The 12,685-nt window shown below is 34.0% G+C and overlaps 2 long non-coding RNA genes across 5 annotated transcripts in view; one reads left to right on the forward strand and one right to left on the reverse strand.

Annotated features, from left to right (window-relative positions):
- Positions 1 to 12,685, forward strand: part of LOC105378797 (uncharacterized) — a 396,491-nt gene that overhangs the window by 120,923 nt on the left and 262,883 nt on the right. The gene's annotated exons all lie outside the window — the stretch shown is intronic.
- Positions 6,095 to 12,685, reverse strand: part of LOC105378796 (uncharacterized) — a 56,436-nt gene continuing 49,845 nt past the window's right edge. The window contains exon 4 of the long non-coding RNA XR_001737673.2: positions 6,095 to 6,203. This is a non-coding gene — a long non-coding RNA (uncharacterized LOC105378796). The remainder of the gene's footprint in view (positions 6,204 to 12,685) is intronic.

Below are 12,685 nucleotides of genomic sequence, written 5' to 3' on the forward strand. Positions count from 1 at the left end.
TATTGCATATCTGTGGCCATATATCATTTCCCATTCCGAATGGTAGATATTTTGGATATTGCATATTTTATGTTTCTAACAATAGCCTTTATTGAAATTTGTCCATATTATCATTCTTGTCAAAAACCCTGCTCTCAGTCCCATTTATATAAATGGTTTTTTTATTTCATTATTGTATAGATTTATATTAATTGGTGCCTAAATCAATTTTATCTAGTTATAAGTTTCTTTTTCTAGACTATTTTTGTTTATATTTTTATTTTAAAACAGTATTTGTAAATACAAATGTAATGTTTTGATGTTTATGTAATTTTACTTGCCTTTTAAAAGTTTAATGTTTAATATTGTTACTGTCATACTTTTAAACATAATATATAATTAAAAAATATATTTGTCTAAAGCATTATAAAAAGAATTTTTGTAGGTTGCCTATGGAGAAAATTTTTGCAATCTATCCATCTGAAAAAATGCTAATATCCAGAGTCTACAAGGAATTTAAATAAATTTACAAGAAAAAAAAACCCATATAAAAGTGGGTGAAGGATATGAACAGACACTTCTCAAAAAAAGACATGTGGCCAAAAAACATGAAAAAAAGCTCATCATCACTGGCCATTAAAGAAATGCAAATCAAAACCACAATGAGATACCACCTCATGACAGTTAGAATGACAATCATTAAAAACTCAGGAAACAGGCCAGGCACGGTGGCTCATGCCTGTAGTCCCAGCATTTTGGGAGGCCGAGGCGGGTGGATCACCTGAGGTCGGGAGTTTGAGACCAGCCTGACCTACATGAAGAAACCCTGTCTCTACTAAAAATACAAAATTAGCTGGGCATGGTGGCGCATGCCTGTAATCCCAGCTACTCAGGAGGCTAAGGCAGGAGAATCGCTTGAGCCTGGGAGGTAGCGGTTGCAGTGAGCCGATATCATGCCATTGCACTCCAGCCTGGACAACAGGAACAACACTCTATCTCAAAAAAAAAAAAAAAAAAGTCAGGAAACAAGAGATGCTAGAGAGGATGTGGAGAAATAGGAACACTTTTATGCTGTTGTTAGGAGTGTAAATTAGTTCAACCACTGTGGAAGACAGTGTGGTGATTCCTCAAGGATCTAGAACCAGAAATAACCATTTGACCCAGGAATCCCATTACTGGGTATGTACCCAAAGGAGTATAAATCATTCTACTATAAAGACACATGCACATGTATGTTTATTGCAGCACTATTCACAATAGCAAAGACTTGGAACCAACCCAAATGCCCATCAATGATAGACTGGATAAAGAAAATGTGGCACATAAACACCACAATACTATGCAAACATAAAAAAAGATGAGGTCATGTCCTTTTCAGGGACATGGATGAAGCTGGAGACCATCATTCTCAGCAAACTAACACAGGAACAGAAAACCAAACACCGCATATTCTCATCCATAAATGGGAGTAGAACAATGGGAACACATGGACACAGGGAGGGGAACATCACACACCGGGGTGTGTCAGGGGATGGGGGGCTAGGGGAGGGATAGCATTAGGAGAAATACTTAATGGAGATGACAGGTTGATGGGTGCAGCAAACCACCATGGCACGTGTATACCTATGTAACAAACCTGCACATTATGCACATGTATCCCAGAATTTAAGTATAATTTTAAAAAAGAGTTTTTAAATAATTTCTTATTATCAGATTATTTCTATTTTTTTGCATTTATTTTCTCCATATCACTCATTATAGTAAAAAAAAAAACAGGCTTAACAGTGAGTAATTTTGTAAATTATTCCCAGCACTTGATCAATCCTGGACAATGTTCAATAGATAATAAATTGTGGTCCAAATCTACAATGTCATTTATTTTATCTAATGATTCTGTCAAATTCTTAGAAAGGCACCTTGCATTAACTTCGATTTGCAAGCATGATGCATATTTAGTAATTTTTATTATATATTTCAGTACAATTTTTTTATTCTATGAATTCATATATTCATAGTGACTTTTAACATTTTAAAAGTAAGAATAGGTGAGATCTCATTGAGTGTTCTTGCTAGGTACTATATGATTTTTTCTTGTATTACTTCATCCAAGTTGCATTATATCTAGAAGAGCTTCTTTGGACTCTGTGGGATCTTTGTCTAATTACAAAGAAGATAAAGTTTTATTTATTTTGGGCTCCTTTGTTTGCATTTTGAAGAACTTCAGGGAAGAGAAATGTAAAACTATAAATTTTTGTACCAATCATGTGTGAAGTTTTAGTTGTGTTCATATTGACATGCCACATTGTCCTTGTTACATGGTAGGCTTTCAATGTATATTTAGATTGACTAACTTTACTAGTTTATTGTTATCTTGTGTTACTGTTTTCTAAAACATATTTATATGCTTTAGAGGTCATAAATTATTTTTCTGGAATAGTTTTGGAATGTAATTTTAAAATAGGCATGAAAACAATAATACTATTATGTCTCTATGCTAGGCACTGTGCTAAATATTTGACTTAATAATTCACATTTCATTCTTATAGTGGCCTTGAAATTATTTTTATCATATTTATTTTTATTTTACCAACAGAAAACTGAAAATCAGAGAGGATATTATCTTAATTAATTTCTACAACTTTCAGGTGGTGAATTCAAATTAAGTTTGCCTGTCTCAAGAGCCCATACTCTTAGTCATTATGTTATCTAACTGGTTATAATTCATGATTTTAGCCATTCCAGTTCCATCATCTATAATTTGAAAATCTGTTTACAAGATAGTTGTGAACTAGAGAGTAGTGTTTTATGTAAACTTCTTGATTTAGAGAATCAAGAGTGGCTGAAACTATTTATATGTGACTTCATTCTTTCATTCATCCATTCAACCAATAATTTTTTCTTATGTCTCTTGCTCTGAAAGGCAATAGTCTGGGTGCTTGAAATAATATACAAAGATGTTATAATCAGAATTTTCTTTTAGAATCTTATAGTTTATTACAGGAACTCCTGTATAGCATAATTCAACTGTAAAATATAATATGAAGTTGTTAGTTTATGGAAGAGAGGGACACTTTTAATTTTAATTACCCACAAACTTTTCTATATATGCAGTTTAAGTTTCACTCATATTTTGCTTTATAACTGTTTTCTAGATTGCTGGCAATCTATGACTGTCAATTTAGCAGTTCCCCATCATAATTTATATTTTTGCTACCATTGTGTCTTCACTATTTAACCAGTTAATATTGTCCACTGTTTTCTCATTTTTACATACATTAGAGCAGTACAGGCTTTTAAAAATTTTATTTCATTTCAAAATATATTTATAATTTTTATTTTTTATAATTAGACTTTTTATTTACAATAGTTTACTATTGGATTTTATAGGTTTCTGTCTTCAAAGCAGTCAGATATATACACACACACACACACACACACACACACTCACACATATATATATGTTTTGTTTTTCAACTCACTGATCTTAATCTACTTGCAAAATCTGGAGGATTCACATTGCTGAGGTTTGCCACCTGGGCAAGGAGAAAATAGTCTTCTGGGCAAATCATAATACCCACATTTTATTTCTTTTCTTGAGCTTTAGAGAGCACCTCCTTTATGTCATTATATTCTTCTTTAAATACCCGTAATAACCATACTGTCTTCACTTTTGTCAAATTTTGGGAAGCATCTTGTGCTAACTCTTGAGGTGGCAAAAATAACTGATTAGGTCAAGCTACAAGAGATACATATTAAATACAAATTAATATGCCTTCAAATTTATCATCCCCAAAGTATACATATTTGATTTTAAGAATATTATATTTTCATAGCCAAATTCAATGTACAAGGAGAAAAGCACATGATAAAACAGCATATGAGAGATGAATGCCAATTACCACCCAAAGGATCAAACACAAATTTTCAGAAAGAGTATAATATACAATCAGGAAACTAGAACCAAATTGTGTTTTCATTGTAGAGAAACAATTTAAATCTTGCTACATTTACACATGTTTATGGAAAAACACGTAGCTGAATGACTGTCAGTACAGATGGATTTGTCTATAAATGGGTAAATTTTGGAAGGATTTTAATGATCCACTCTTCTTTCTTTTTAATGAGCTACATCAACGTGTTTACCTCAACAATGTAATGAATTCAGAGAATCTTGAACTTGAATCCTTATTTTGGTCTCTTGTGCTTATGTGTAAAATTATATCCTTTATATATCTACAGGAAAGGGATACATTTTCCTACCATTTTTTTCATGAGTATATTAGAGTAAATAAAAACACGATGAATATTGCGAAAATAAATTATTAACTTTATGTCTATTATGTTGGTCATAACACTTCAGGATATTAAAATATAAAATATCAAGACCACAGTGGTTTAGTGTAAGGGACTTTCTTCACATATGTTAAATATTTATAAAATTTTGAAATTAAAAATCTACAATTGTACATGAAGAGTCATTAAAAAAAAACCAAGTCATCCTATTGATTAGTTACATAAACTGTATGAAGATTTGGAGCATGGAGATCTGGAATGCACAGGTCAATTTATACAAAAACTCCAGATATTTTACATTTTAACAGCTTGAATTTCTGATCCACAATGATAGTGCCTACATTACTAAATAACAGTATTTACTAATTTAATACCTTTTTTGAAGTGCTCAGGGACAAACCTAATGGGCTGTATAAACACAGTTTATCAGTGAAACCTGAAAAACCGGATGAAAAGAAGGTTTAGGATTATAAAACTCATTTGTTATTTTTTTGTGTCTCAGATCCATGATTTTAGGTGTTTTTAAATGTCCACTAACACTTGAGGTGGCAAAAATAACTGAATAGGTCAAGCTACAAGAGATACATAATAAATACAAATTAATATGCCTTCAGATTTCCTGTCAGAGAGTGGGTAAAGACTAAACTTACTTCCAGAGCCGGTGGGCATGGAAGTATCCCTGTTTGACCCACATCTGTATCATAGTTAGATACTATCACATGCATCTTCAAGGAGTGTGAAACAAATTATTTTTATCTTCATCCAAAGATAGAGGAAATGAGTAGGAAATTTTCAACTTTCTCTCAGTTTCTGACACTTATACAGTGGCCTGAAAACTGAAAATATATCTCAAATTACAGTTCCATGATAGAGACATAAGAAAGTGAAGTAACTCATCAAAGCATGCAAAGTTCCTAGTTCAGTTCTCTGGAAAGGAGAGAGTGGCAAGTAGACAGATTTTCTGTCACTCTGATCTAATGGTAACTAACAGTCATGGAAAATGTGTTAGGTATCAGTTCAAAAGGCTTTTTAGATAACAGCTTAAGCCTCAACTTATAGCCAGTATCTGAGCAGTCATAAATATACACCTCTAATTTCTGTATATTTTCCTCTTGTACATAGGTAGACTTATTTTTCCCTTTTTTTCTCATTCATCAAATATGCCTTCATTGCCCAAACCATCATTTTTATCACTGGACTCTCATGGCATACTATCTGCAGGTCAACAAGCCATAAACTGAGCAAATCTATCTGTTAAAAAAATCATGCAATGACTCAAATTGATGATCCAATTTAATTTGTCAAGCATCCTCATTGATCTCATCTGACTGTGAATCAATTTGCTGCCAAATACGTATGTGTGTGTTTCACTTTCACTACAAGTTAAAGATTCATTTGTTCAAAGAGATTTTGTGTTCAATAAACCATCCTACTTGACTTGAAGGGACTCTTCCTGAGATACTGGTAAGTAAATAGAAGTTTTGGAAATTTGTTTACGATCTTACTTGAAATAAAGGGAAAGTTTTAAGTTGTCATTTGGATTGAGGATTAGGAGAAATAGTATTAATATTATGGTGAAGATTATTTCTAGCATATTTAATTACAATATGTGGCTAAAGTAACACAAATAGGCAATGACAACAGATTACATACTTATTGGTACAAAAGAGAAATATTCAATTATTAGAATTTTTTGTTAAAATATTAACAGTATGATCAGTGACTAATCTTTAACATCATAAGTTCAGGCTTTTATTAAATTTTGGAACTAATTTTATAACGTTAACATTAATTCTACAGAACTCGCCAATACAGCAGGGACTCAGTTTTTATATCTGCATTGCATTTTTATCTACCTCCAAATTTTATCGATTCCATCCAGGAATAATTTGCCTTTCTGTTGACCACCGCAGACATGTTTTGTTTGCACCCTGCAATTTGAAAAAAAAAGAAAAAGAAAAAGAAAAAGAAAACCTAAATATTCAGTTTACCTCATGATATTCAGTTTACCTCATCATCCTACACGTGTACGTCTTGTCCCTTCAAATCATCTGGTCCCAATAAACATGAATCATGCCAACAAATAACATATTACTTTTCTCTTAAAGCTGGAACATATTACCACTGACTTGGTAGCTTAGAAAACACACATTTATTTTCTTATAATAACAGAGTCCTGAAGTCACACTGGGCTAAGGTCAAGGTGTCAGCAGAACTGTGTTTTATTCTGGAAATGATAAGAGATAATCGATTTTCCCAGCTTCTAGAGGATGCTTGCATTCCTTTGCTCCTGGCCTCATTTCAGTAGTTACATCATTCTGACCTTTGCCTCCACTGTCACACCCCCTTGTCTGACTCTTACTCTCCTGCTTCCTATAAGGACTCCTGCAATTATTTTGAGCTCACCCAGATTATCGAGAGTAATCACAAGAGCCTTAAATTAGCTACATCTGCAAACTCCCTGTTGTCATGTAGGGTAAATTATTCACAGGCTCCACAGGGTTTGGGAGCCATTATCTGCCTAACCAAAAGAGACATGTAGGAAGGGTTCCAGATATTTTTTTAAAGAGTTGAATAAAAGATTTTTAGTTTTATGCATATATATAAATTTCCTGTTTTATAAATTGGTTGTATAATGTAAATTTGAAATTTGGGTTTTTCCTGGCTCATTTTCTCATTTCTTTATATTGCTATGCACTTATTTGTTGTTTTTTGTTTTTGTTAATCTTCCCTAGAACCTGGCATTTATTTATTTGTTTGCGGAAAGAAGCGACAAAGTTAGTCAAAACTTTTTAAGATTATAAGAATAGAATAAATTATCCACAAACATTTTGGACATTATTATTTTACTTGATTTGCACAATTAGTCTTTGGAAAATGTGGATGAGAAATGGGAAGCACATGTAGTTTTTTATACATTTTTTATTAAGAAAGTACTCTGAGTTCCAGTACTTGGATGGTGACCTTATTTTTCTTTTGTTTGGGAAGATATGGCTATGTATTAAATGGTCATTTTCCCCTACACTGAAAACCATAAAATCCTGTGAAAGTTCTATATTGTCCACAGTGCCATTTTAGTGGAGGTTCTTCTAAAGGTTTATAGTAACAAACCGAAGAAAGGTATTTAACCCAGTGACTGTTTCATCCTTTATATAGATGAGAAAGTTAACTAAGTCCTCATCTGCTTCCTTAATGGATACAATATTTGCATTTCAATGTGTTTTTATCATATTCAGTCCTAATAAACTATGAGAGTTATGAATGATTATAGGAGATACAAGTTACTTTCTCTTTGGAAAATATACAATCCTTTTTATTTTATCCTCCATTTATATAACTTTTATACATGTCATATCTTTGCATGCAAAAATGGAGAGAAATAAGCAAGTTGATATTTATTTTTGTGACTATTGTTATAATAGATAATACATACTGAGCTCCTCCTCTGTGCTAGGCACTTAGTACCTCATAATATCTACCCATTTAATCCCCAAAGCAACCCCATGAAATAGATACTTTTAATACCTCCTAGTCTACAATTGTGGAAACTTTTATAAAGACACAAAGCTTAAACAACTTTCCCAAAATTATATTAATGGCCACTAATGTGGAGGAGTGATTTGCACCTAAGCCAACTGTCTTGGAAGTCCACATTCTTAGCTGAAAGGGAAATCTGCGTTTAGTAAAGGTATGAGATGGAGCTAAGTTTCTTCATCTGTATTCTGTAACTTGGTCATTATAATAATAAACATTATAGGATTCTCAGTTCTCAAAAACTAACAAAAAAAAAAAAAAAAAAGGAAAAAAGGACAGCCTGTGATGTAAAATGTAAATGTGCCAAGTAGTTTAGAACCACAGACTTTCAGGGATTTAGTCAAGCTTAGAATCATTCCAAACTATTCATGAACAAAGTACTGAATGATATAAAGGTGAATTAGAGACTGCTATTGCCATTGTTGTTGCCTCAAAGGAGCCATAGCAGGTCTGGTATGACTTATAGTAAATCTCCATACAGTCTATGAATTATTGTTAATAAAAATTTCAACCCTTCTGTCCCCACCAAAAACAGTCTCATTCTGACAAATTTATATGGCAAATCCTAATCTGAGACAAAGACCTCAGGGAGATCTGTTCCAAACCTGCAGGACGCATCACAAAGTAGTCCTTGTTACTAGTGTAGCCTTTACTTCATTGGTATTTAGGAAACTTAAAATTCACCTTATGTATTTGTATTTGAGTCATTTTACTAATATTCTTGATGCATCATTCCTACTGAATAGGAGTCATCTTCAATATTCCAGCACCCAATCCCAAGAGCAGTGATTCTGATTTGTGATTACTACCTGGTGACTGGGACCTGACTACTTGCTGAAAGAATTTGGCTATGCTGACTCCCTGCTTACTGACTATGCTTTGTGAGTAGCATCCAGTCTGTTTCTTAGTGACTGACATCCTTTGACTAGCACAGTTGAACTTAGTTAAACAAAAATTATTGAGTGTAAAGTGATTTAATATCCAATCTCTGGAGTCAAATCTTGGCTCCATCATTTACTAGGTGTGTGGCTGTGAGGCAGCTACTAACCTTTGTAATTCCAGTTTACTTCCTCTAAATAAAATAACAAAAACAAACCAACAAAAACAAAAGCAGCAAAAATATTTCGACTTTTCTATGTATACAAACTTTAGAAAAAAATAAGAGAATCAATACTCGAAATGATGAAATCAACAATTGTGTCACAACCCATGGGAATATAGAGGGGGAAAAGCAATAAATTTATGCATATCACCTTCCTATCATCTCTATCCAGGATTTTATATTGGAAGTGTCATGTCTGGCATGATATGGGATCTAGTAAGACTGAAATTAGACAGAAGTACAAAGAACTGAGTGAATGCAGGAATCTAAGAGACATAGTTATAGGGAAAAAGCATGGGCAAGTGTGGTTTGGTCAAGGGACTTGTCAAAAAAGGAGCCAGCATGAGAATCTAAGTTGAGTTACCCAGGAAAGCAGGTGAGATGACTGGAAACTGCACCTGGGGGAAGCCATGAGTAGAGACATTTAATTATGCAGGTTGATGTCTCTTCCCTCAAGTCACTTTTAATGAGCTGAGAGTCTGAGGTGGCTGAGATTCCTTTGACAGCAGTGTGGTTCAGGTTCAGCCCAGCACCTAACCAGAGAAGCAAGGTCTCTAAAATCCTGCATCCACTGCAGTGTCAGAAAGTCACAAAATCATAGAAAATTCTCTCATTTTCTTTTTACATTGGAAGACCTATTTCTATGCTGTTGGGGTACTTTTCTTTCCGAACGTTTCAAATATTTCAAGAATTCTATTGTGCAACATGTTGAGGTCACAAATGAGAAGAAAGGTAAATTTCTAATTTTTTTTCTTGTTAAAATTGAGAAATTGATGGAACATCAGTTGAGATCATGATTTTACACAGAGGCTGCAGTGGCTTTGTTTTCAGTTTATGAAAACAGTTAACAATTTTATTTAACCTGGGAAGATAAAACATTCTATTCTTTCTCAAATGAACAGGATATCAATTTTAAACTGTGGGCTTATGGTCACATCTTCTTTTCCTAACATATAGGAGATGTTAGAATGTTGCTGTGGGCACTCACACATGACACATGGTGGCTGGACTATAGTGGGGCAGTGAGAGTACAAGTAAGAGTCTCCTAAAGTCCTTATCAAGTGTAATCAGGAGTAAACTCAAAATAAACCGGCTTTTATGTACAGCTCTAACTATTCCTGAAGACTATTCTGGATTATAGAATTCAGTGAGCTTCTTTCAGGGCCGTAGCTTCATCAAAAAATCAAGGAAAATTTCAATTCAGTGGCAGGATTACTGTACATATTAGAAGTGATTAGCTGCATTCATGAATCCATAATCACACCTGCAAATGACGAATGAATCTATAGAAATAGGAAGCATTTCAAAGCCATGAATATGCATGCAGTGTGTTGCCAGAAATATCATAATAAACATAGTTTGTGAGTATCCAGGATCTAGCAATACTGTTGTTATTTTCCAGATGTCAGAACTCAGCCATTTTGACCAAAACAGATAAACCTGAAGTTCAATATTGAGAAGTCACCATGCATGGTGCTCATTTCAGAAAAGCCAGTTTTATGTGTGTTAGAGACATAACTATTCTGAGAAGTGGCTTCAGGGGTACCAAGAAAGCTCAATCAATACTCACTCACCCTCTTTATATATCCTCTCCCCCAAAATAAGATTTATATGTTGGCTGGTGCCTGGACTTTTCTTTATTAAGACTTTACTTTTAGTTTATTAAGGCTATATTTATAATTTTCAGATGGTAGAAAATACCACATGCCCACAAATTTAAAACAAACCATGCCATCAGCCTGTTGGCCTTAAAAAACAAAATACAGATGATCTCTTAAGGGACATTTTTAATTGAGAATATTGGAGATAGCATGAGGTCTTTGAGGTTTGGGAACTTGAGTTAAATATGTTTGTAATATTGCAATTAAGTGCAGATGAATATATTATATACACCTGAAGACACACAGTACTTTCTGATTCTCTAACCCTCCATTCATAAGATTGCCTTTACACTTTCATTACTTTCTGAATAATTGCAACAGAGAATTATGGATGTATAAAAATGAGGCTTATTCAGAAGCAAACAACACCACACTTAAAACTACAGAGACATTGGGAAGTTAATTTTCTTTTATTCTAATTACATTGGCTTATTCTCTCTAGATTTAGAGCTTAAATTACCAACTTCTTTGTGAATCATATATTGATGTCATCAATACTCATTAGTGTTACAAACCTCTTGGGGGAAAGCAATGGTGAAGCCTTAGAAACATGTAGTTTTATGGAACACTGATTAACCCTATAAATATATGCCAAAAAGGAGACTCCTTGGGAAATGCCTGTTTCATTAAAATCCTTACTTTGTATTCTAATAGATCACCTTGCTGTCTGGAGAAGACAAACTAAATAAAATAATAAGACCTATTTCTTTCCTTTAACCAGTTAGGTGTCTTTTTTGAAAGATAGACTTTCTGTGGGTAAACCTTCACTTTATTTTACCTAATTTAATTAGGATATGAATTGAGTGATGATGCTATATGATTATAACAATGCAAATATTGAGATATTTGTTGAGTCTTAGAATCAGAATATCATAAAGTGTGATATGAATATGATAAGAAGAAGCAAATTTAAATGAATAAATAAGTATTTTTAAGGACTGTTCTGGGCCAATTACTGTTCAAGGATGAAGATAAGGAAAGCTCTCCCCTTTTAGATTCCGCAGTATAGGAAATGAAACCAACTAATAACTAGGTAGCACACAATATTATATGGTGCTTGATATAGTCTGAATCTGTGTCCCTGCCCCAATCTCATGTTTAATTGTAATCCCCAGTGTTGGAGGTGGGGACTGGTGGGAGGTGACTAGATCATGGGGCAGTTTCGTATGGTTTAACAGCATCCCCCAGTGTTGCTCTTGTGATAGAGTTATCATGAGATATGGTTGTTTAAAAGTGTGTAGCACCTCCCTGCCTCTTGGTCCTGCTCCTGCCATGTAAGATGCCTACTTGTGCTTTGCCTTCTGCCATGAGTAAAAGTTCCCTGAGGTTCCCCAGAAGCAGATGCTACCATGCTTCTTGATAGGGTTTGGCTCTGTGTCCCCACCCAAATCTCATCTTGAACTGTGTCTCCCATAATTCCCATTGTTGTGGGAGGGACCTGGTGGAGATCATTGAATCATGGCAGTGGTTTCCCCCATACTGTTCTCATGGTAATGAATAAGTCTCACATGATCTGATGGTTTTATAGTTAGAAACTCCTTTTTCTTGGCTCTCACTCTCTCTTTGCCTGCCTCCATAAGTGTAAGACCTGACTTGCTCCTCCTTGCCTTCCGCCATGATGGTGAGGCTTCCCTAGCCATGAGGAACTGTAAGTCCAATTAAACCTCTTTCTGTTGTAAATTGCCCAGTCTTGGGTATGTCTTTATTAGCAGTGTGAAAATGGGCTACTACATTTTCTGTTCAGCCTGTGGGACTGTGAGCCTATTAAACCTCTTTTCTTTGTAAATTACCCAGTCTCAGGTATTTATTTATAGCAGTATAAATTGACTAATACAGTTCTTAATATCATAAGGAAAATTCAACAACTCACAGGATGCAACAATTGTGGTGATATATACTGGGGACATATAAATCAGTTTTGTGTGTAGAGAGTGGTAAGGGCAGTTTTCCAAATAATTTTTTTTAAAGCTGTGAGCAGTGGGGTAAATAGAAAACATCAAAACATCAACAGAATATTCTAAGAATGTTCAAAGTGAAGAATTGTGTGAAAAATGGTATTTCATTAGGGAAACTCAAATGTACTCTTTACGGAGGAGAAGCGAAGCAGAGCACAGTC

Source organism: Homo sapiens, chromosome 1, assembly GCF_000001405.40.
Source record: "Homo sapiens chromosome 1, GRCh38.p14 Primary Assembly".
Classification (NCBI taxonomy): domain Eukaryota; kingdom Metazoa; phylum Chordata; class Mammalia; order Primates; family Hominidae; genus Homo; species Homo sapiens.